We start from the raw sequence: 27,110 nt of genomic DNA on the forward strand, positions 1-27,110 counted from the left end.
AACATTTACCTGCATGGGGGTAGCCCAGCCACATGTTCACACAACTGTGTGGCTGGAAGTGTTTAATGGCACTCTTCACTCAAGAAAACAAAGAAACGTAATGCAAAGTCCTTGATCTGAGACTGAGTTTCAGGGGCCTACAGCAGAAAGCCCTCTGTCAGTTTCTAGGGAAAGGGGAATATTCTCATTTCACAGATATGAAAATCAGTGATATGCTACAGAACACTGGCCAATGAGTAACTCCTTTTAGAGGTCAGGTCTAGAAGTGCTATAACCTACAACTCTCTTGTCCTTTTAGGAAAATGTTTAGTGCCCATTTGAGGTGCTTAGAAAACTGCTTTGCCAATGATCTCCTAAGATGGGTTTAACTCTCAGGATCTCAACGCTAAGTCTATGAAACAAAGGACCTGACCTAGACAGACTGCTTGGGGCATCACATTAAAGTGATCAGGAGCTCAGACTCGGGAATTAAATTGGGTTCAAATTAAACAACTCCTCCATGCAATAGTGAGCAAGTGACTGGCTGAGTTTTTAATTTCTCAGCTGAAAAATAGGATAAATCAAGGGTTGCTATGAAGAGTAAATGAGTTAATGTATGCAAAGCTCTTAGAAGAGGGCCTGGATCATAGTCTCACCTGCCATTAGGCTCTTTCTGGATCTCTGATTCTATGTCATTTTATTGTAATAGGGTCTCCAGAGTCAATACAGCAGTTCAGTAAATGTTAAGGTTGCAAAACTAAACTTGGAAACATGGGGGGCTTAGGGAAACTGCAAAAGGCTTTCAAGGTTCAAGGTCCTTTCACTATTCATCAGTAACTCAAGGCTCCCTGCTCTGCAGATGAGTCTGAAGACAAGCTGAGGAGCCCCCACAGTCAGGAGGCAAGAGGGGCTCCAACAAAGGGGGATGCTGGTCTCCACTGGACAGCTCTAGACGTGGGAGTCTTTCCAAAATGTTTGCTTCACTGTAGCCAGTAATGTAACAAGATCTTAACATAAACCTCACAATCAGCTTCCTATTTTGATTGCTGACCTTAGAATGTCTTTAATAATAAGCACAATAGAAAAAATAGAGCACTTTACTGGGAGTAATAAGAATAGCTGTGTGACCTTCAATGGGTCATGCAAACTTTTTGAGGCACAAAGTCCTCTTCTGTAAAAGGGGGCAACGCCTACTACCTCATAGGGCTGTTCGGGGAATCAAATGAGGTGAAGCTTGTAAAAGTGCCATGCAAACTGCTTTATAAATGCAGAGGGGTAATACTTTAACTACCAACGCCAATAGCAGTTACATCTGACATAATTTGCTTCTATGCTTACATTGCTTAGAAAACATGACATTTTTTTCAGTATCTGTCTCTAAGGACAATCTCTGGAACAGGAAGGAAGAACGGACAAGGCCCAAAGACAGTTGTCAAATAACTGCCATAAAATAGTGGGAAACAGACTCTGTGCAGTACTGAGATTTGGTTCCGTTTCTCCTCTGAGTCAGAGACCAGGCACAAGAGGAAAATGTGAGCCTGTTGTCAGAAAGCTCATTTGTTCTATGGAAACAAAGCAGAAGTCCAGGAGTCCTCAAAGATGATTGGACCTAGGGGCCCTTAGTGTACCTGCTATCAGCCCAATACTGATGTCCTTGAAGGAGAAAAACTACAAAAGACACCACCAAGATGAAGGAGTTATTGATATTTCCTCAGCCTCAAATTTTGGACCCAAGCGGCACAGAAGAAACAGATGGGGCTCCACTTGAGGACATAATAACCATTTTACGGGCAACATGAATAAGAAAGCCTGAGAACCAAACCAGCATCTTCCTAAAGGCTTACTCCATTTGCATTCCTCCACAAAGTGGTCTTGCCAGGGTGCACGCGGAAAATCACCTATTCAACCTCAATATTTCTCAGAAGCTACCTGGAAACCTGTGAGAGCTGCTGACTCATCCACTAGAGGAGAAGCCAGAGATCTGCTGACATGCAAGTAGGCTGCTGGTCCCAGGATCTCGTGTGTTTGTCACAGAGAAAGGAATAGGTAGGAGAGGGGATGAAGCAGCTGTAGGGAGAGTGAGGTGGGGAATTCCTCATCTGAGCTCTGCACCTCTTCTCTCTCCCAACATATAAACACAGGGCTTTGTACATCTAGTACCCAGGTGGGCCCAGTTTATTGATCTCTTCTCATCTAACTGGAGCCAGGGTCATGCTAGAAAAAAATCACCCGTGGTTTGCTTTCCAAAGAAAGGGCTGGCCCCATACTTTCCCTGAAGCAAATTGCCCAAGAGAACCACCTTCTTCTGTTACAAGGTCTGTACCTTATCCAAAGAAAATAGTTTCCATTCTGGTCTCCTTTGCAACCTGCCCACTTCTCTTACATCTTTAAAGGAGAATGGAAATGGAATTGAGGAAAAAGTATCCAATTTAGTGAGGACTTGCACTGGGCATTCAGAAGAACCTGGGCAGGATGAGCCCTAGGCTAAAGCTCGAAGATAAACATGCCCCTTCACCTCCTGTGCCATCTGCTCTTCTCCCACCCAGTATCCAGGAGTCTCTGCATACTGCTAACTGTCTTTTGGAAATAAACTCACCTACTTGTTTTAACTAAGTTAAAAACATCTGGCTGGGCACGGTGGCTCATGCCTGTAATCCCAGCTCTTTGGGAGGCCAAGGTGGGTGGATCACTCAAGGTCAGGAGTTCGAGACCAGCCTGGCCAACATGGTGAAACAGCATGGTGAAACCCTGTCTCCACTAAAACTACAAAAATTAGCCAGGTGTGGTGGCACGTGCCTGTAATCCCAGCTACTTGGGAGGCTGAGGCAGGAGAATTGCTTAAGCCTGGGAGGCGGAGGTTGCAGTGAGCCGAGATTGCGCCATTGCACTCCAGCCTGGGAGACAAGAGGGAAGAAAACTCCATCTCAAAATAAATAAATAAATAAATAAATAAGTATCTGTGAATGCTTCCCAAGTCTACTAAAAACTGTTTTAAATAAACTTTATTTTGAAGCATTATAAACATATGGAGAGATGTGCAAAATCCTAGTTGTAAATCCTCATAAATGTTTTATAAAAAGAACACCTAGATGCAGAAATAGAACATTACCAGCAGCTGAGAGACTCCCTGTTCCCTCTCCAGATCAATAACATCCCCCAAGGGTAACAATGATCCTGATTTCCAACACTGAAATGTTAGTTTTGAGCCTATTTTGAATTCTTTGGAGGAAAAAATATTTGATATACGCACAAACACAAAAAGGCTACTAGTTCATTTCAAGAGTTAGGGGCTGACCAATAAAAAAGATTTTGTTACAGTGGGCGAATTTCCCCTGGCTTATTAAATCAGACTCTTCATATTGCTTTAGGAGAAATATGGCAAGCCCAGATGGTAGGGATAAGACCAAAGGCTGAGATGCATTGGTGTGAGCCAGCTGGTATTTGACCTCCACTGCTCTTTGATGAGGAAGGATGGGGAAGGATTGTTGCACTCTTCAGAACAGTCCCAGAGTGAGAAGAGTTGCCTGTAATCTCTCCTCCCTCCCCTCAACTTGCATCAACATATTAGTCATCTTGATGTATGTGATATTTTACTTCAATTAGTGACAGTGATCTGGGGTTAGAGGGAAACTGACAGCATCTTATATGGAATTTGTGAATAGAATGTTCTAGAGTCACAGAGACTAGAGACCTTGAAGAGTCACCCACCCCATGCTGTTGTGCCTTCTGGAGTACCACAAGTAAAGCCTGAAGGGTAAGAGCCAATGATAGTGTAAAAGACACATGAAGGCACCCCAGACTTGTGTGATGGAACTGTGCTTCTGAAACCATCACCCTGCCTTGAAAATTCCTTTTACTCATTTGAAAATCGCAGATGTTACCAGATGAATTTGTTTATTCTTGTAGTGACAAAGACAACACAACACATTCCAAAATCAAGAACAGAAAAAAAATTGAGGATAAAGAGGTACCCAAGGTACCCAATAGTATACGAAGCACTGGAAAAGACATCACCTGTTCCCCATCATATAGGCAGGAAAAAGGATAAAATAGCACCCCAAAAATTCCTCTTACAAAGTATCAATCTATATCTATCATAGGGTCAGCCCTGTGCTGAGAGGGCTAAGAAAGGTACTGACCCTGCCCTCAAGGTTTATATGCAATCCAGCCATGAAGACAAGGCTGATGTTCATTAACAAGTAGGGAAGGGAACAGCAAAGCCCAGGGTAATTTTATGCTGAAAAGGACTTAGTGTTCACACAACTCAAGAGGCAAACCCATGGCCTCTGGTGGCACTGGGCCTAGAGCCCAGACCTGAAGTCCTGTGTCACAGAGCCCTTCCCCACAGAACACAGCCCTCACTGGAGCGGCACTTCCATGGGTGCTATGGATTCCAGCACTGTGTTTCGGAGGCCACTGAGAGTGGCTGCTTTTAGGCGGCGAAGCCAAGATTGAACTTCCACAGACTCCAGAACACTTGACACAGTCTTAAAGCCATGAGAGGCTCTCCAAATTATTATTTCTTGTTGCTGGTTTGCAAGAGACAGTTTTTTTCTCATGTAATACACAGCCAAAATAATAAGTCAGCAGAAAGTATAAGTCAAGAGATTATAGAAGCCTCAGAATAAAGAGAGGTGGGAGTAGGACCACCGGGAAGATTTCACCCAGCACACCCTACCCTCTGCTGTGATGCCTAAGTGGCCTCCATGAAGCCAATGAAGAGAGTGACCAGTGATGTCATCAATTCATGAAGATTTTGCATATGAGTCTGGGCAGCCCTAGTAACTCATGTGGTTTCAGGAAATATGGACTGAAGCCAGGAAGACATTGGTGTATCTGCCTGATAGTTACCATGACCCAAGCAGGTATCAGGGATACAGCAACACAACAGAGCTGGTCCCTCTGCCCTAAAACAGTGCTGTCCAACAGAACTTCCTGTGGTGATGAAGACGTTCTGTATCTGCACTGTTCAATTTGGGAGCCACTAACCCCATGCAGCTGTTGAGCACTTGAGATATAGCCAATGCAACAGAGAAGCTGAATTTTTAATTTTATTTAAATTTAATTAGCTTAAATTTAAGCAGCCACTGGCAGTTAGTGGCTCCAATATTGGACAGCTTATTTGTAAAGATTGGCCAAGTAAGGAAAGAGAGAGATTCATAATCATAAGTATATTCACCTATAGTGATGACAGCTGTCATCAGGGCCAATTTAAGCACTTGCCTTAAAAGCAAATGAACTGCAAAAATGTGACCTACTTCACTATAATGGTTTGGTTTTCATAAGCAAATACATCAGGAGCCAGATTGGGAACACCCGTGCACTGCACACAGGCTTCAGAGAATCAATAGAAACACCTGGATATAAAAAATGCAACATTCACCAAAATTAAAATGAATCATTGGGAATAAATGTAACAGGATAAGGGCTATGTGAGGGAGCTGCCACTGTCCTGAGGACAGAATGGAATGGGAACAGATGTTTGTTCTAGCAGGAACCACGGACGGGGGCTGTGATCATGCAGAATTGGAAGCTGGGTTCCACTTCTAGAGGGAGTTGTACCCTGAGAGCCCTGAAATATCAACCTACATGTCCCTCATCCCTCTCAGATGCTTTTTGAAGGAGCCTAATACAACCCTAATATACACAAGACCACATCCACTGGCTGGCAGCTCAAGAATCCAAGCGGTGGGAAAAAATAATCCCTTTGTTGGAAAATGGACAAAATGGGTTCTAAAAGAATATAGGATCAAAAACGTATGATATGGTTGAATAGAAACAGCATGAGCTGTGTGATCTTGGTCCCATTGCTTAACACATTGAGCCCCAGTTGTCTCATCTGTAAGATGGGGCAAAATCAGTTTTAACTTGCAGGGTTATGACTATCAGAGACACTATACGTAAAATGTCTAGCAGAGGTCTTGACATATGGTAGGTGCTCAATAAATGCACAGTTGCTCATTTCATCATAGCATCGTCTACCGCAAACACAGTATAAAGTGGTGCTTTAAAAGCAGTTACTCTAGAGTCCATCTGCTTGACTCATCTCTTTGCTGCAAGTAACTGAAGCCTACGCCTCAGTTTCCTCATCTGATAAATATGAATACTGATAGTAATTTATTAACTCATTAAAGGATGTCATGTGTATTAAACGAGTCAGTGTAAAGTGCTAGGATGAGTATCCATACATAGTAAGTGCCCGATAAGCATATTGGGCTATTAGCTATTATGCTAATATGCTACTACGATATTAGCTGCTATGATAGTCTAAGGGATGCCTGGGCCACAAGTTAAGGGTTTCTGTAGGAATGGACAGAGGCATTTTTTAAAAGCTACCCCCTGTCATACTGGTGAAACTCAAATAGGCAGAAAGGTGCTGCCCACCCAGACAGATGGGAGGAATGTCAGGGTGGCAGTGATCCTGAGCCATCGCTAGGCTGCAAGAAGGGGCCACACTCTGACATTCAGCCTCTTGGCATAATGAACAAAAGCAGGACTCCTTCAGCAGAAGTATGAAGTGAAGTTGATGGCAGGCAGGCAATGGAGTAAGTTGTTCTCAGAAAAACAACAGCAGTGGGCTTGTCTGAGGGCTGGAGAGAGAGGATGTGGATTCGCGCAAGGGGGTAAAGGGCTCCCACAAAAGTAAAACTAAAATTTCCAGATGTCAGTGTCACTAAAATTCTGAGCAGAAGGAGGAAGGTGTGAACCAATGGACGGGGTAGGCAGTATCTGATGGCAGAAGGGTAGAGAGAAGGAAGCAAGACGGAATTGCTCATTAGTAGTTGTCATGGGGGTTTGTCAGACTCAGGTGATACAGCCAGGAGGTGGGACACACTCCAACATACCCAACTCACAGCCCAGATTCAGATACTGGTGGGATAAGGAGAAGGCACTATATATGTCAGTTCCAACTCTCTCTCTCCTCATGGCCACAGAAGTAACTTTCTCACAACTGCAAAGTTTGTGTGTCTCACCAACAAGCAGGGAGGGGAGGAAAATTCTTCTCTAGGGAGAGGCCTGCCCTTAGTTAACACAAAACAGATCAGATGATACCCCACTAACCGAAGTAGAACCAGTGGTGACTGAGTCTAGAAAAATCTGAGCAGGGACAGAATTAATCAATTTCTCTTTTTTCCTTTTTGATAGAGTCTTAGAGCTGGAAGCCATGGCCGAGGCTTCTAATCAAGCCTCCAGCACATCCCAGGCATCTTCTTGGCCTGAGTAATTGGTTCTTAGGGCATCTCTTGGGCAGAATCAAGCAAACTCCCAAACGGAGATTTCTTCAAAGGAATTAGAGCTGAAACCTTCAACAGACTTCATTTCCAAGTCTCTAAATCAACCATAGACGCCAGGTCCTGGCCTCCTGTATTTCCTGCTGGAAGCACATTCTATAGCATAGTCTGTTTTTCTCTAGTAAAAGAAGCCAGACTTCAGAGACAGGCTAAGTTCAGCACCCAATTCCAGCATTAACAAGCAGTTTTTGCTTTGCACAAGTAATTTTGTTTCTCTGAGCCTTAGTTTCCTCATCTGTAAAATGACCATGACAAAATGGTTTTTGCTGACAAGAACTAAATAAGGCAATTCATGAAAATGACCCCAAACAGTGCCAACCTTCAGTCAATCTGCTGTCTCTGTGGATGTCATGTTGATGGACAGCATCTCAACTCTTCCGTGACTAAATCAGTCATTTCCTTATCCTGAAGTATGGTTAACATAGTTGTTTATTCTGGAAATACTCAGTTTTTGGTTTTAGAAGAAAACCCTCTCCTCACATAAGACTAGAAAAGTTGCCTTTTAGTTAATTATCTTTGTTTCTCACTTGATAGCACTTGGAACTGAGTGCATTTATTTCGTTTTAATTCCCAAGAGCTGCTCCCACAGATTCACAAACTATTGTTCCTACAGAAGGAAGAGTAAGTCATTGATAGACAGCCATTCAGTCCAATAAAGTGGATTTTTAGAAATAAAAAATGCAACCACCAAAGAGAATAAGGCGTCAGGTGACCCACTAGTCCAGAGGTTCTCCAATTTTAATGTGCAAAAGAATCATATGGAGAGCTTGTTAAAAATGCGTATGCCCAGGAGCCCTGCGCAGAGATTCAGCAAATCTAGCGTGAGACCCGGGAATCTGCACTGTAGCAAGCATCCTGAGGTTTCTGTTATAGATAATCCATGTACCACCCTTTGGAAAGCACTGCATTCTTCCATCATGTGGTGCTTAATTGTTTTCACCTCCCACCCCCAACCCCCAAATGGCATAGTATTAAGGATATAGAGAAGTACTAGTAATGGCCCCAATTAACACTTAGTTAACCTTCATCATCAAAAGAAGTTCTAACTATGACAATTGTTGATTGCAGTTTGTAAAGACTATTCCCCTGAATTCAAGGTTCACAATGTCTGTAATAGCTTGGCAGACTAGGACGATAAAAAGATGCCAAAAAAAAAAAAAGATTTGAAAAACATTCCAGTAGGCAGATACTCTAGCTGAATAAATGTTTTGCATTTGAAATGTAAAATAAATGTGAAATTATTTCATGTCAAGAAGAAAATGGGCATTCTGAAAGAAGCTGGGCTGACATATATGCTGAAGAAAATTAGGAAAAGGAAAAAGCTGGCCTGACATACATGCTGAAGAAAACTAGGAAAGGAATTTTCATTACATCTCAAACCATGCATTTCTGGATAAACCAACGAAATCCAGGAGCATCAACTAAGAGACACTGTAGCATCTAAAAAGCTCATCAGAACTTCTCTCTAACACTGTTCTCAGGGACAAGGGTGGGAGCCCCATAAATGACACCACCTGAAAATATGGCTCTTTGAAGCCCTGAGCAAAAAGAGGAATGCCAGAGTTTTCTGGTCATTTTTTACTACCTATCTTGCACCCAACAATCTTCTATCAGAAAAGTTTTCTGCTTCTCATAATTTCTTTGTCTTTGCTCTGTGTGTGTGTGTGTGTGTGTGTGTGTGTGTGTGTGTGTGTGCGTATGCGCTTCTAAGCAGCAATCCATAAACCCACATTTGCCATGTCTCACCAAAAAATAAAATGTCCGACTAAAAGGAAGAGGAAAAATTGCTAGCACATCGGGAGCCCAGGAAACATGTTACTAGGGAGAACAATGGGAGAGAACCTGTTTCCAGTAGTGAAAGCACTTTCCCCGTGGGAAGCAAAAAGCCATTATGGCGGATTTAGCCTTGATACAGCACTTCTTTTTCATATCCCAGTAGCTCACCATTTTCAAACCAGAAACCATCCTTCACCGGAAGGACATAAAGCCTTTCCGAGGCTGGGAAGAACATGGCCCTGGGCCTTCTTCTCCCACTCTGATAGGCAAGGATCCCTGATGAGGGAGTGCTCCCACCCTGGAAGGAGGGGCAGCCAGGCAAGGCTGTTGCTGTGGCCACACGGTGACCATCCTCCTTACTGTGAAGGCCTCACACACAGCATTCCAGGGATGTTTCACAATGATTTGTGGCAGAGGGGAATGCCATCTCTGATGGCTTAGTGATGGACATAGGCTAATCAGGAGGAATTTGGTAGTGTTGATTTCACCAAGAGTCACAGCAGAGAAAGGGTAACAAAATGAAGAGGAGGTCGAGTGAGATGTTAGAGACATAAATGAGGACATTAATGAATATTTATATCTACATCATGTCTCTAAAACAAAAAGACAAAGAAAGATTTGCCTTCCTACAGGGTCTTTCTTTACAGAATATACCCACACCCGCTGTCTCCATTTTCTACGGCCGACTAATGTCATAATTATAGCAAAATAAATTCATTTTAGTTATATGTAATCCCCCACTACCCTATAAGGAGAATAGGTCTGAGTAACTGTAGTATTTTTTGGCTGGGGGCAATAAAAATCTTCCTACTTAGGCTAATAGGCTTTCACATCCTTGAAGACAACATTAAAGTGGTGGTGGAGAGGAGCTGAGAAAGTCTGAAATAATCATGTTTAAGAAACAAGGGGGCCGGGCATGGTGGCTCACGCCTATAATCCCAGCACTTTGGGAGGCACAGGCGGGTGGATCACCTGAGGTCACGAGTTTGAGACCAGCCTGGCCAATATGGTGAAACCCCATTTCTACTAAAAATACAACATTAGTCAGGTGTCGTGGCATGCGCCTGTAGTCCCAGCTACTCAGGAGGCTGAGACAGGAGAATCGCTTGAACCTGGGAAATGGAGGTTGCAGTGAGCCAAGATCGTGCCACTGCACTCCAGCCTGGGTGACAGAGTGATAAAGATGCCGTCTCAAAAAAATAATAAAAATAAAAAAATAAAAGAGGCTGGGCGCAGTGGCTCACGCATGTAATCCCAGCACTTTGGGAGGCCGAGGCGGGTGGATCACGAGGTCAGGAGATCGAGACCATCCTGGCTAACACGGTGAAACCCTGTCTCTACTAAAAATACAAAAAGTTAGCGGGGCGTGGTGGCGGGCGCCTGCAGTCCCAGCTACTCGGGAGGCTGAGGCAGGAGAATGGTGTGAACCCGGGAGGCGGGGGTTGCAGTGAGCCGAGATCGTGCTACTGCACTCCAGCCTGGGCAGCATAGTGAGACTCCACCTCAAAAAAAAATAAATAAATAAATAAAGGAAAGAAAGAAAGAAGAAAAAAGTTAGGAGGCCTGGAAATAACCCACGTACAGAGAAAGGGGTGACCTGGAGATGACAAGGCCAGAAGGGAAAAATCCATGGAGGGAGATACAGCAGCTGGTGGCCAAAGTGAAAGATTTGCAGGAAGAAAATGGGGATTCTTCCCTGGAGCATGATAGGAAATGTACAACATAATCTACTTTACCATTTTTACCTATGACATCTTCAGTAAACTATTCATTGTTCTCTGGTACTTCAGAGTGACTAGCAGTGCTGTGTTCTCCTTCCAGGATAGCACAGGGAGAAAAGAGAGGACGGGAGCTGAAGCAATACACACCAGGAACCTCTTTTTCTCTTTAAGTAGGAGGTAAGATCATCTGCTTAAGGCAAGTAGATGGGCATTTGGGAAACTGCTCTGAGGAATGGGAGAAGGAGCTGATCTTTTATGCAGCCAGGTTGAAGGCTTAGCTGATATTGTGAAAAGCAAGTCAAGGGAAATGACAAAGAAGGCAAATGCAGAGGAAGTGGTGGTCAGAAAGGGGACTGTTGAAGTTTGAGCATTCAGAATTTGTAAAGCAAGCCTGGTGTGGTAGGCTGAATATAGTCCCCCAAAGCTGTCAACGTCCTAATCCCTGGAACCTGCCAATATCTTACTTTACTTAGCAGAAGGGAGTTTGCAGATGTGATTACATTAAAAATCTTGAGATGGGGAAACTGTCCTGCACCATCAGAGTTGACCTATGTAATCAGAAGGGCCCTTATAAGAGGAAGGCAAGAGGATCTGCACAAGTAGGAGATGAAGTGACAGGGGCAAGAGGCTGGAGTGATGTGATGAAGGAGCCAGGAGCCAAGGTGACCTCTAGAAAATGAAAAAGGCAAGAAAACAGATTCTCCCCTGGACTCTCCAAAAGGAAGGTAGCCATGGCAACATTTGATTTTTGACTTCTGACCCCCAGGATTGGAAGAGAATAAATGTGTGTTGTTTTATGTCACTTTGTGGTGATTTGTGAAAGCAGCCCTAGGAAACTAATACACCCTAGGGGGTGGTCATGGAAATGGATCACCAAAGTAGACCCATTCAGGGAAGTCCAGGAGGCCAAAGGTCCATGACATTAGGGCATTGGCCGTGACCCACAGTATAAAGTACATTTCATGTCACAACCGGTTCACATGCAAACAAATGTTGTAGGAAACAATGCTTCCACCTTTTCCTATGTGGGAGGCATTCTGATATATTCCATTCTGTGCCACTCTATTTCATTTATTTTAAATTCTGGTTCCAGATGCAACACTACTGATATGGAATGGAGAGCTTGGGCTTTACAGTTAATGTAGATCTCAGTTCTTACACTGATTCTGTGTGACCTTGGTCAAATGGATTGATGGCTGAGTCTCAGACTTTTCATAGGGAAACAGGGAATGCATACTTGATACAGCTGTTAAGAACAAAAGAAATACCATGAGGAAGCACCTACAGGGCTGTAGTGCCACACACAGCATTCATTAAGAAACAATAGTGGCTTCTTCTATAAAACCAGATAATCCTAGCACTGTAAGACTCTGCAAGGGCTCTGTTTTCAGCTGATACTGGAACTGCCTCCTCAAACACGCTCGTCTACACATACAAATGCATTTCCAGCGAGGAGAGACTACTTCTCAAGTCATCTATGATTGCTAACCTACTTTAATTATTAGAAATCTCTTCCCTTTATGGCATGATGAAAAATCTGAGTCCTTATAATTTCTGTTCATCATCTTAGTTCTGCCTTCTGGAACTATATCTGAATATGTCTAATATCTTTTATACATAATATATCCTTAGATTGGATGACATTTATCATGTGCCACTAAGATTTCTCTTCTCATGTTAAATGCTTCCATTCCTTTCAACCATTTGACATTTCCCATTGTGCTAATTCTTCAGCAGTCTGGTCATTCTCCCTGAAACATACTGTAGCTTGTCAATATTCCTCTTGAAATAACACCAGAACTGAACATTGAGAGTCCAGCACTCCAATGCCATCAGCTTTGGAAAAATAACATAGTGGAAAAAGAATAACTTTTTTCCTTCATAAGAATTAAATTCGTCGGGGAAGAGATTAGTAAGGCAAAACTTCAGTCTAACTTACCTCTTTTGCTAGGCCTTAACCAAAAGATCTACTTTCTCCATGGTAGACGGGGTGGGGTCTGGGAAATGAGCTTTAAAATTGGGGAAAATATATAGTGACAACATTGAAGACAGAATGGCTAAGTGCTTTCTAAAATTTGATGATTTTTTTTTTTCTTAAACAAGGCCCAAATTGACCAGGCATCTTCATTAGAGTTCAACTCCCACCCCCATTTGCACCCCCGATTCTTACCATTCTCTCAGCATCCAAGATGCCTACAAACAGTTTAAAGCAGCGCTATTCTGCATATGAACATAACACACCAAAACCAACCCACTACAAACAGTCCCAGTCTCTCTGCAAGCTAGGCAGGAAGTCCTGGGTGTTAAATTACAGGGGAAAGGTTGATTTAAAGTATATACGTGAATGATCTTTTTTCTTTTCCCAATGTTTTATTTTGCAAAATTTTTAAAGTACAGAAAATTTAAAAATAGACACACATATGCCCACCCTTAGATTCAACAAGTATTTTGCCACCTTTGATTTCTAATATATATGCTCAACCATTTGAAGGTAATTGCAGACATCATGGCAATTTAGCCCTAAATACTTCATCAGGCAAGTCTTAAGGAGCAGACATTCTCCTGCATAACCACAGTTCTGTTACTTCACCTGAGAGAATTAGTAAATATGCCACAATTAAAATAACCTTATTTTCATTCCATGTTTGAATTTCTCAAATTGTCCCCAAAACATCTTAGTTTTGCATTGGTTCTGTCTTTGTTTGTAATCCAAAATCTAATCAAGCTTAACACTTTGCATCTGGATACAAGTTTTTAAAAAATAATTTCATACTTACTTCAAGCACATTAAAAAGCAGAATATTTCTTAAAAGTAAAATGTACCCTCCATTTTTCAGTAACCTTAACCCTGATCAAGGCAATGTTCTTGGAGATGAACTTGCTGGAAGCAAATGACAGCCTGTCTGACACTTAAATCATGACCCCCAAATCGCTAATGAAGAGCATTCTTAAGCAGAGCACAAAGGTATAACCAATAATCTCTGACCACAGAAAAAAAAATAAAGATAATGGCTCTTGCCTCTTTTATGCTTTTTTCTACAATTTCTAAATTTTTTACAACCAAAAAAAAAGTTATTTAAAAATTTGCCACTGGTTATCTCTATGTGACACACTTAATTTCATAAGATTAAAGTACAATACTTTGAATCTCTTTCAGATGATGTGATTAAGTGCTCACTGTCTTGAGTATCCTTGATTTAAATTTAGATATAACAGGAAACACCACTTTTTTTTAGCCGTAGGTCGTTACAATCAGGTAAATCTTCGGTTGTTCTGCCTATACTTCTTAAGTCTGTAAGTACTAAGTCTACATCTGAAGATATCTACAAACGTCTTCCTGTACAGAAGATTTCCAAATAGTTTAATCTTCTCTCCAGGAGGTGGAACTTAACTGCCCCCTGTGTTTAGTGACTTGGTTTCAAAGAGCAGAGTATTAAAAGAGAAGGAAAAAAGTTACTTTACAGTGAGGAAACATGGCAGGCACTACTTCAACCACGTGATCAAGGTTAGCATCAAGTCTTACTGATACATGTGCCCTAGATATGACATGACCAGAGTGGCATGTTATCTCTGCTGTGTTCTTCTCCAAAATCCATAACCCCAGTCTAACCATGAGAAAAACATTGGACAAATCAAATTTAGGAGCATTCTACAAAAAATCTGACCAATACATCAAGCTAAGGAGACATGACAGTTAATTGTAATGTGGTGGCCTGGATATTCCTAGAACAGAAAAAAATGACAATAGGGGAAGACTAGTGAACCCTAAATAAAGTGTATAACTGAGTTACTAGTAACGTACCAATGTTGGTTCCTTAGTTTTGACAAATATAATTTAATATCATAAGATGTTAACAGCAGGGGAACTGGATGTCAGGTACACAAAGGCTCTCTCCACACTATCTTTACAGCTTTTCTGTAATTTTAAAAACAGTCTAAAATTTTAAAAGTGTACTTTTAAAAAAAGGTACAAAGAACTCATTCTTTTTTAATTAGTATTAAAATTTACAGAAAGTTGATCCCAATCAAAGTTGGAAATGGAAATTTAAAATTATCCCGTAGTAAAATTGTGCAATTACTCTATCAATCTGGCAATGTCATCATACCGTGGTCAAACAGACACTGTGGGAAAGTGAGGACTGCATCTGTCTTTCAGAACAATATTCATTAAAAGCCTCAGAAATACATACTTTTCATCCCAACACTCCATCTGTAAAATCTCTGAAAGAACTGATCCAAAATAAGGAAGTCAGCTTGTGCACAAAGATACATATCCACCACTGCATTATTGATAATGATGAATACTAGGAAACAAACTAATGGCCAATAATAATTGCCTGGCAAACAAATTGCACATCTACACAATGGGATGTCATGCAGCAAATAAAAAATGTGTTACATTTTTAACGACATGGAAAAATATTCATTATATAAACTTAAATGAAAGAAAATTGTATGTTCAACATGATTCCAACTTTGTAGAAATATATAGGAAATACAGGAAAGAAATACATATGTTTTAATATAATCACAGTCATTCCTGAATGGTTGGATAACGGTCCTTCTCTCTTCTATACTTTCAGTAAAAATTCTGAACTTGCCACATCAGATATATATTTCTTTTATACTAAAAATAAAGTTATTTTCAAAGCATTTGCTACTGCTTTTCTTTGTATAATTAGATTACAATTAATTTTTATTTTCCTCTTTGTGCCTTTCTGTATTTATCCAATCTCTATATTAGCTGTGTTATTTTTTGTAGCCATATAGAATGTATTACAATGTTTTATTATACTTTTCTAAATGCAATGGTTTCATTGGTAACATGTTTTAACTAAAAATAATTTTTTTAAGGATACTAAATAATATATACAAATAGCTTGGATGTTTTAGGGATATTTGTTCATTTGGGAAGCATGATTTTAATTGAAGTTTTAAGAAATACATTCTGTTCCTAAGAGCCAGTCAAGAGTTTGTGCAATTACATTGCTAATTAGAGGTCCCCAGGTAAAGCGGCTAAAGGCAGGGAAGAGGAGGGAGAGAAGATGATAGGGAGGAAGAAAGAAGGAAACTACACCAGAAAAAGAAGAGATGGGGAAAAAATAACAGAAGAAGTGGGAAAGGTGAGACAGGAAAAGATGGAACAAGAGCAAGGAAAATAAAGGGAAGAAATGAACAAACATGTCTTTCAAATCTGTAAAGTAGGAAATTGGAAATTGCATGAAATAAACTCACTAATAGGCAACAGTACAGGGTGAGAGATGATCATAATCAGTAGATAAACCAACAGAGTTAGAACTGGCACATATTTTTTCTAAAAAATTTTTAAAGCTGTTAAAAAAAATGCCCTGGGGAGGCAACCATTCAGGCCGAAGTTAGTTGATAAAGAACAGCCAACAGGACTGCTGTGCTGGGCAAGAGGCCATTCAGGAGGTCTCCATGCTATGGAAGAGGGCTGTGCTGTTTACTGATGTTGCTCCTGGCCTCCGGTTCCAACTGTACTGCCTTTATTCAGTCATTCACATGTTTACTTTATTCACGGCAAAAGAGGAAGACCAGACGAGGAAATAATTTTTGAAACCCATAACTCTAAAGCCAAGGGGGTGATTTTTTAATACCTCTGCTAGCTACAGAGAAGTAATAACATCATTAAGCTTTTAGAGGCATAGGGGTTATCAAAATCACTATTTCGAAAGCCCTTTTAAATCATAAGGAAAATTCTTATTATTTTATAGATGTTTGATTTGCAAGGATATTAGTTTTCAATCATATTTAAATCATGCAACAGAATTGCATTTTGCACGTTTTTAAATTTTAGATATATGGAAATATAATATGTAATGATTGTACAGAATATATTCATCCTGTTTTATAGGACTTATAGCTTAATTGTATTATTCCAAATAATTTATAAGGTTTTTAATGTCCATGTCTTTTATAGTAGTTGTGGGTTTTAGCTATAATTTATTTGGTTCAAATATCCTTAATGGAAAAATAGAATCCCACTTATTACCATGTTCAGGAACATGTAGTGGCATGATAAGAAACTACTCATATTGTTACATATCAAAATGCACATTGTTAAATGAAACAAAATAAGACAAGGTATGCTTGGTAGGCAAAATAACAGCCCCCTCAAAAATGTCCATGCCCTAATTCCCAGAATCTGTGAATATGTTAGATTACATGGTAAAGGGGAATTAAGGTTGCAGATGAAATTAAAGTTGCTAATCAGCTGACCTTCAGATAAGGATTATCTGAAGGTAAGGATAATCCTTACCTTCAGATAGGGATTATCAAGGTGGGCCTGAGTTAATCAAAAAGATTATAACTGGAAGACAGAGGCACAACAGAAAGAACCAGAGAGATGGCAGTATGAGAAAGGCTGGCTTGGAAGATGGAGAAATGGGGCAAGTGACCTCCAGAAGCTGGAAAAGCCGGGAAACTAACTCCCAAGAGTGTCACCTTGGAAACTCCCAAGAGCCTGCAGAAGAAACACAGCCCTGCCAACACTGATTTTGACTCACTGAGACCCATTTCAAGCTACTGATTTCCAGAACTGTAAGATAGTAAGTTTGCGTTGTTTGAAACCCCACAGCTAAAGCAGCATGGTTACATACATCAAGTACAAATGGAGGGACCGTGCCAACCAGAATTGGGTGCCAGCTCTTAATAGAAATGACCTAATCCAGACAAAAGCTAGTGTCCAGCCCTGGGAGGGATAAAAAGAACTAAACTGGCTTCCTGGAAATTTTAGCTACTTAATCTAGACTAAAGCCTCTGCAAGACTTAAAATGAGTCCATTTTATTCACTTACATCAATTACAGGCAGTGATGTTGTGAGTCCATCTCAGCCCCAAGAGTTGCCAAAATCAGCCCAAGAACTACTTGGAAGAAAATGCCAAGTTTGGCAAGGTTCAAATACAGTTATTTTTTCTACTGGGAAGAAAAATCACAACTAGAAAGGCTTAAGGTATTTTGTTGATTTGGGACACTTGGGTCAAATGTAAGGCATGACCAAAAGGAATCTGGTCAAGCAATCAAGAGATGCAGAATTGTACCCTGATGTGAGACCTTACGCAAGTCACCAAATTTTTGGGGTCTCAGGTTTTGCAGCTGAAAAATGGAAATTATAACACCTGTCCTGCCTTCCTCCCATGGGTATTGTGAAGAGCAAATAAAACTATATGCATGATTCCACAGGTAAAGTATGTATATACCCTTCTATAATTTTCAGCTTAATAATCATAATAAATTGTTTTGCTGCAAATCACAATGATGCTGTATGAATGATTTTCTTTTGAAAAATATCATGTCTGGGGATGGTGGGTGGTGGCTTTTTAATAATATAATGGTCCCGCTAACAAAGTCTCACCATCCATGGACAGCATGAGCTCATGGTTTTAAACATGTCTTCATTCCAAAGGTTCCAAAGAGACCTTCCCAGAACAGTCTGATCTCAAGGGCTTTGAAGAGGAAATGGCCTTATGTGCTGGATCCTGGTTGCTTCCAATTTTGAACTGACTATAGAAAAACTTGAAATCTGTGGGGAGTAAGAGATCCTATTTGGATCAAATTTCAACTTTTCTGGGATCTACTGGGAAACATTGGGGAAAACTCCATTTTTTCTCACTATTTATTAATTTGTAACTTGCACACTGTTTGGGGGTCCAGGAGGAATCTGTAACTGCCCGTGATTCAGCTCCTCCGAGGACAGAGCAGGAGCTTTAAGTAAGTCCATCTCTCATCAGCTATACACCTGCAGCTTTATCTGGAGGTTTTGTGGCAATATAGGAATGTTTTTAAAAATGTTTTTCACATTCATCTGAAATATAAACTCAGAAAAATTCAGGGGTCTAAGAGAGAGCTTGTGTTGCTTTAGGCCCAGGAGAGGATGATTCAAATGTTATTTCACGGTCTCTGCCCTCAAATTCTGCCCTCATCCCCCACCCCCAGGTACATGTACACTTCTGATGTCACCTTCTAGAAGGTCCTTCCCTGACCACACAACCAAAAATGTTCAGAGCTCCCAACCAGCACTCCCTATCCTCCCTGCTTTCTTCTTCTCCTTCTCCTCCTTCTTCTTCTTCTCCTTCCTCTTCTTCTTCCTCTTCCCCTCCTCCTCCTCTTCCTCCTCCTCCTCCTCTATTTTTTCTTTTTAAATCTTTTTGTAGAGATTCTGATCTTGAACTTATGACCTCAAGCAGTCCTCCTTTCTCAGCCTCCTAAAGTGTTGGGATTTGAGATGTGAGCCACTGTTCCTGGTCCTCATTACTTTTTAAATTTTTCTTTAGAGGACTTCATATTATAGACAGGCAGGCATATATTTACAGGTTAGTAAATGTCACTAATATCACTCTCTGTATGAGAATTTCAGTTCCCTGATGGGTAGGGTTTTCATCTATTTTGTTCAATCCTATATCTATTAAATATATTGCATACAATGCTACCCAACACATGATAGACACTCAACAAATGTCTGTTTAGTGATGACTGTTGAGTAAATGATGTTGAACATCCATAACTAGATCTTTATTCCTTTAGCTTAAAGTAAAAAAGGAATCTGTCCCCTGAAAAATAATTACAATGGGTTTGGAAGGAGTATCATAGTAAAGTTTTTAGCCTGTATGAATGAGTGGGTACCAGTTATTGCCTGGGAGCAGACCTCAAAAAGTCAAAGAAAAATGAGGTCACAGCCTTGATGATCAAGTGAAACATTCATCAACACATTAATGGTATTAATGGTCCCACTCTGAGTGAGGTTTTTCTTCTTTTTTATTTCCTTGAATATTCTAAATTTCCTATAATTATTAGTTTCTTTTATTAAAAATAAATATCCATACAGCAAAAATAGAATTTGTTTAACAGATAGAGTTTTAGTTTTGCAAGATGAAGAGTTCTGTGGATGGATGGGTATGGTGGTACAACAATGTGAATACACTCATGTCACTGAATTATACACATAGAAATGGTTAAGATGGTACATTTTATATATTGTATATTGTATATAATATTAAATATTCACTGTCCTTAAAGTGATAACACTGTGTAGTAAAGTTATACTGCGTACTTGATGTCCTTTGTGGTCCCCTCATCCTTTTTCTTTCTTTCTTTCTTTTTTTTTTTTGACAAGGTCTTGCTCTGTCACCCAGGCTGGAGTGGCACAATCTCAGCTCACTGCAGCCTCAAACAATCCTCTGGGATTAAGCCTCAAGCTATTACTTCTGAGCTCAAGCAAGCCTCCCACCTCAGCCTACCAAACAGCTGAGACTACAGGTATCTGCCACCATGCCTAGCTAACTTTTTTTATTTTTTGTAGATATGGGGCCTCACTATGTGACCAGGCTGCTCTTGAACTCTTGGCCTCAGGTGATATCCTCTCTGCGGCCTCCCAAGGTGCTGGGATTACAGGCATGAGCCACCACACCCTGCCTTGTGGTCCTTTTCAACAAGTATATCCTGTGAAGTTTTCATTCTAGACTCTCAACAGCAGTTCCCTTGCACAAGAGCTACCATAAGTAATTCGTCCAGACCAGAGACAGCAAAAAAGGACACTGTCATCTGCCTCACCTATCTGGTCCCATCCTGTGCTCACAGCAGACACTGCCATTCATCCTTGGTGCTCTCACCTCACACCTTCAACCCATCTCACAGTCCTCAACTAGCAGCCCAGGCATCTTCTACCAGTGGGTCCAACTGAGCAGTGTGAGATGAAACTAATTTACCATGTGTTTTAGCCATAGCTCCTCCCAAGGTGCTGTATTACTCACTTGGAAAACATCCAGGAGGTCAGGAGATTGAGCAAAAATAATTCCAGAATTAAGAAAAGAGAAGACAGTTTCCTTATGTGCCTGTATGCATACATAACAAAGCATATGCCCAAATGAAAACTGAGATACTTCTTTTCCAGGCTTCTTGAAAAAGAGCAGCTTGGCTGTGCTTCATAAACCCTTAGCATAGTGAGGGTTTCTAAGTTAAAGACAGATCTGCACCACTCTTAAAAACTGAGCTAATCCTGGATGAGTTTTCGTTGGATTTAATTCATTTTAAGCACCACTATTTGAAGCTCATTGAGATAAGCACACCACGTGTGATGTAAATAAGGCTTGGACCCTGCCTTCTAGACACAGGAATGAATAATGCTAATATGAAGTGGGCAGTGAGAAGAAACAGATCCCACACTGTGGATGCACAAAAGAGAAAGAAATCAATTCCATTTGGGAAGGCTTCAGAAAGAAGGTGTTTGTGATCTGCGTCTTGGAGAATGAGTATTACTTTAGAGTTTGGAAAGGTAATCTTTTAGACAGCTGCAAATACTTTGCAAACAACCTGCATATGGAAGGTGCAAGGCATAAATAACCAGGATTCTTGAACACATGAGCTGTTCTTGATGGAATCTTTTGTTTTTATTCTTCTTTTTTCCAAGAAGTGCAACTGCTGCTTATCTTTTTTTGTTCGGTGACTTGTTTCTTTCTGAATTTAGACTCAGACAGTAACTCTTTGGACACTCCTCAATATCAGTCTACTTGACACTTAGGCCATGTTCTTGATATTTTGATTAGAGCTTCCTATAATAGATAGTAGGCAGAGAAGTTTTCATAGCCTTAAGAACCACATTCCCTTCTGTTTTCACTCTTCTCACATAGGGTATTCACAGTGAGAACTGGCTGCGGATGAGTGCACTATGTTCTTTATAAAATGAAACCCTGCTGCCAGTCTGTGGCCTGACATGTGCTCTAGGCATGGACATGTGTCATCTACGGAGCCTCCTTCATGGCTGGTCACAGCTCCACCATTATGGCAGTCAGGATGACAAACTAGGGTCTGTTTCTCTCTGTGAATTCTTAGTTATTGGACTCAAAATTACCCTGACTCCCAGAAGTAGCATGAAACTAAGTCTGTGAATAAACTGGGAAGAAGAAAGATCATATAGATCAGCTTTCTTGCCTAATCCCAAGTAGTGTTGATAATGTTGAATGCCTTCTCTCCAGGAGCCTAGCCCAGCACCACATACCCCGAGCTACTGAAAAAGTTGCTTTTTGAGGGTGATTATGATAGACTTTTTTTGCATACATACATATGACTTTCAGTTCTTCATAAAACTGAGTTGGCCCTTCATTGAAAGAAATATGGCCAAGAAGCCACTGACTGTCAGGGGGTGCCCAAAGAAAGCAGCTGGCTGAGTTTGCTCAGAATCCACTATTAGGTTGGTGCAAAAGTACGTACACACACTGCCATCCGCCTCACCTACAAAAGGTGGCACCTCCACTACTGGGGGTGTGGCCTTTGGGGAGGTTACTTCCATTTAAAGTAATGGGGAGGTTACTTCCATTTAAAGTAATGACAAAAACCACAATTACTTTTGCACCAACCAGTATATTAGACTTTGGTTTCACTCGACCCTAATCTGGTCTGAGATCACCACTTTCATCCATCCAAACAAAAAACATTTATTAGGTGCTTCCTGTATGCCAGCTTCTCTATCAGAACCCTAAGAATACAGCCGTAAACGAACCAGACATTCCTGCCCATGGACAATTAGAAGTCCTGACAAGGAAAATTTAAGAGGGGAACCTGAGGGTCCCAGGAAAGGATCTCTAGAGGAATTGAAATCTGAGCTAATCTGGCACCAAATGTTTTGGGTTTGCTTATATATATGTGAACTACACTATTTTTTTTCTAAGCATGATTGTACATGGTGTTATGAAAAAAAAATCAAAACTTTGAAATAATGCAAAAGGATGAAAGCATGCCCTTTTGGCTTCATACAGAACATTGTGTAACAGGCCCACCCACTGAAAGGCTGTCTAATTCTCTGGAGGACTGTACTCTTATTCCAATTACCCTTGACCTTTGATGAGAGTCCAGAGTCTGCGAAGTTAGAATTAACTCATAGAAGATTGAAAAGTTGAAAATTATTTTTGTCCAGTAGAATACAAATGACTATTATCCAATAGAAAAGATAACCCTGAAAGTTAATATTTATTGCTTTGTACAACATTAACCCATTTTGTATCTGTCTTGGCATTCTTATCCCAGTAGCCTGTCTTTCATTAACTGTTACTCATGTCCTGCTTTGCCCAGCTTTATTCTCCCGCTGATTTGTTCTTTAATGAGTTAATTAAACTTTCCCAAGTTTCCACTATTGAGAACACTATATTTATGTTTATATAAGAATCACATTTTTGACTTTTTGAAAATGATACTGTGATGGTGAAAATCATCTAGGTAGACGGAAGGGATGAATGCGGTAAAAATACAGATTCTTAGTCTCCAGTTCAAACCTACTGAATCAGCATCTCTGGGTGATAGGGCCTGTGAATCCTGATGTTTTTAAAGCTCCCCAGGTCATTCTGATGCAGAAAGTCAATGTGACAGTGTTTGGGAACCACTGGAAGAGAAACACCAAGAATGTCCAAATGCGCAGAGAAGACCTGCTTGGCACAAACTGACATCCCATCAATAGAGACGTTCACCCCTTATCTTAGGGCTTTGAGCCCTGTAAAAATATAATTCTTTTTTGAAGAGTAATAATTAAAGCTATTATGTCACTTATACTTTGGGCAACAAACGGAAGAACATAAGAGAATAGGATTTCTGAGGTGGGTAAAGGGCCCATGGAAAAGGTGGAGAAAGCTCAGAAGAGAGGAAAGGAAGTTCTTGAACTTCACTATTTTGCTCACAGCCCTTACAGACAGAGCATGACTACTCTTAGGAATAAATCATGTTTAATTTACATACCATCAGAGTACAAAAATATGCAAAGTTTCTTCCAATCAAAGATGTCTGGAGAGTGATATGAACAAGGCGGTGGAATAGGACTTTCCAGTATGCATTTCCTCAGAGAAACATCACTTTGGAAAACTAGCCATTAAAGAAAATACTTTTATAAGAACTAAGGAATCCATGTGAGACATTGTAACACCTGGGTGGAGTGCAGAAATACGAAATGATGCATTGAAGAGGGTAGGACAGCTCCACATGACCCACATCACCCTTCCCCAAGCCTGCAGCCTGGTGCAGAGAGAGACCCTCCACGTGGGGTGCTGGGATCTGAGTGTTTGTGTTCCCCCAAATTCATATATTGAAGCCTAATCACCAATTTGCTGGAATAAGAAGGTACACCCTTTGTGGAGGTGATTCGGTAATGAGGACAGAGCCCTCGTGAAGGGATTAGGCCGAAGGGAGCTCATTATCCCTTCTGCCATATGAGGACACCTTTGACTTTAAGTCAAAAACTGTCACAAGAGACGAAGAAAGTAATTATACAATAAAGGAGTCAAATCATGAAGAAAACATAACAATTGTACATAAATATGCACCCAACATCACAGTACCTCAGTATATGAAACAAATATCAACAGAACTGAAGGAAGAAATAGACAACAATACAATAATAGTAGGAGACTTCAATGCTCTTCCTTTAATATGGATAAATCATTGAGACAGAAAATAAATAAGGTAACATTGAAATTGAACAACATTTTAGACCAAATGGACCTAACTGATACATACAGAACATTCCATCCAACAGCAGCAAAATATATATTCTTTCAAGTGCAAATGAGACATTCTCCAGTATAGATCATGTTAGTACACAAAACAAGTCTTAACAAATTTAAGATGACTAAAATTACAGCAGGTATCTTTTCTGACCACAGTGGTATGAAACTGGAAATTAACAACAGAAGGAAAATTAGAATATTCACCAATATGTGGAATTTAAACAATGCACTCCTGAATTCCTGAATCCATGGATCAAGATGAAATTAAAATGGAAATCAAAACATATCTCAAGACAAATGAAAATAGAAACAGCATACCAAAACTTATGGAACGCAGCAAAAGCAATTCTAAGAAAGAAGTTTGTAGCAATAAACGCCTCCATTAAGGAAAAGAAAAATCTCAAACAACCTAGCTATATACCTTAAGAAATCAGAAAAAAAGGAACAAATTAAGTTCGAAGTTAACAGAAGGCAAGAAATAATAAAGATCAGAGCAGAGATAAATGAAATAGAAACTAGAAAATTAATAGAAGATAAATAAAATTGACAAACCTTTAGCTAGACTAAGAAAAAAAGAGAAGACTTAAATAATAAAATCAGAAATGAAAGAGGAGCCATTTCAGTTGATACCACATAAAACAAAGGGTCATAACAGACTACTATAAACAATTACACTCCAATAAATTAGAAAACCTAAAAGAAATGGATAAATTCCTAGAAACCTACAACCTGCCAAGTCTGAATCATGAAGAAACAGAAAATCTGAACAGACCAGTAGTGAATAAGGGATTGAATCAGAAATCAAAAACCTCCCAACAAAGAAAAACCTAGGACCTCTTGGCTTCAGTGCTGAATTCTTCCAAACATTTAAAGAGAAATTAACACCAATCCTTCCCAAACTCTTCGAAAATATTGAAGAGGTAGAATGACTTCCAAACTCATCGTATGTGGCTACTATTACCCTGATACCAAAGCCAGACAAGGACACTAGAAGAAAAGAAAATGACAGGCCAATATCTCTGATGAACCAAGATGCAAAAAAATCCTTAACAAAATATTAGCAAACGAAATTCACTGGCACATTTAAAAAAATCATGCAACATAATCAAGTAGGATTTATCCCTGAGATGCAAGAATAATTCTACACACAAAAATTTTTAAAAATATGATACACCACACTAACAGAATGAAGGACAAAAATCATATGATCAGCTCAATAGATGCAGAAAGAGCATTTGAAAATATTCAACATCCTTCATGACAAAAACTCTCAATAAATTGGGTATAGAAAGAATGTATCTCAACATAATAAAGGCCATATATGACAGGCCCTCAGCTAACAGACTAAATGGTAAAAAGCTGAAAGCTTTTACTTTAAGATCAAAAACAAGACAAAGATACCTACTGTCACCATTTCTATTAAATATGGTGCTGGAAGTCATAGCCAGAGCAGTTAGGCAAGAAAAAGAAATAAGAGGCATCCAAATTGTAAAGGAAGCAGTAAAATTTTCTGTTTGCAGATGACATGGTCTTCTATATAGAAAATCCTAAAGACTCCACCAAAAAAAAAGTTACAACTAGTAAATTAATTCAGTAAGGTTGCAAATACAAAATTAACAAATAAAAATTAGTAAGATTTTTTTATATAGTAACAAAGAGCTATCCCAAAAGAAATTTTTAAAAAATCACATTTATAATAGGAGAAACAAAAATAAAATAATTAGAAATAAATTTAATCAGAGGTAAAAGATATGTACATTGAAAACTGTAAATCACTGATGAAAGAAATTGAAAAAGACATAAATAAATGGAAAGATATCTCATGTTCATCAGTCAGAATAACTGATATATGAAAAATATCAGTACTACCCAAAGCAATCTACAGATTCTATGTAATCCGTATCAAAATTCCAATGGCATTTTTCACATATATGGAAAAAATTCTGAAATTCATATAGAACCTCAGAAGACCCCCTCATAGTCAAAGCTATTTTGAGCAAAAAGTTGAAGCTGGAAGCAAAACATTACCTGATTTCAAAATATACTACAAAGCTATAATAATCAAAACAGCAGAGTACTGGCATTAAAAAAGGACACAAGGACTAATGAAACAAATAGAGAGCTCAGCAGTAAACCCACACATTTATGGTCCATTGATCTTCAACAAAGATGCCAAGAATGCATACAACAGGGTAAAGACAGTCTCTTCAATAAATGGTGTTGGGAAGACTGGATATGCACATTCAGATGAATAAAACTGAAGCCTTATCTCATACCATATACAAAAATTAACTCGAAATGGATTAAAGACTTAAAACCTAAAACTAAAACTACCAGAAGACAACTTAGGGAGAAAACTTATTGACATTGGTCTTGGCAAGGATCATTTTCTTAAAATATGAACTCAAAAGCACAAGCAACAAAGGTGAAAATAGAGAAATTGGATTGCATCAAGCTGAAAAGCTTCTGCACAGCAAAGAAAAAAAATCAACAGAGTAAACAGACAACGTAGGAAATGGGAGAAAATATTTGCAAATCAGATATCCGATAAGGGGTAAATATCCAAAATACATAAGAAATTTAAACTCAATAACAAGAAAATGAATAACTCAATTAAAAATGGGCAAAGAACCTAAATATATATTACTCAAAGAAAACATACAAGCAACCAAGAGATATAACAGCACTAACCATCAGGAAAATGCAAATCAAAACCACAATGAGATACCATCTCATACCTGTTAGAATGGCTATTATCAAAAAGACAAAGGATAACAGATTTGGGAAGGCAGCGTGTGGAGAAAATGAAACCCTTGCACGCTGTTAGTGGGGATGTA

The 27,110-nt window shown here is 39.7% G+C and overlaps 1 protein-coding gene across 4 annotated transcripts in view; it reads right to left on the minus strand.

The window, feature by feature from the left end:
- ADAMTS12 (ADAM metallopeptidase with thrombospondin type 1 motif 12) overlaps positions 1-27,110 on the minus strand; it is a 368,456-nt gene that overhangs the window by 228,421 nt on the left and 112,925 nt on the right. The gene's annotated exons all lie outside the window — the stretch shown is intronic.

This window comes from Homo sapiens, chromosome 5 (assembly GCF_000001405.40).
Source record: "Homo sapiens chromosome 5, GRCh38.p14 Primary Assembly".
NCBI lineage: Eukaryota > Metazoa > Chordata > Mammalia > Primates > Hominidae > Homo > Homo sapiens.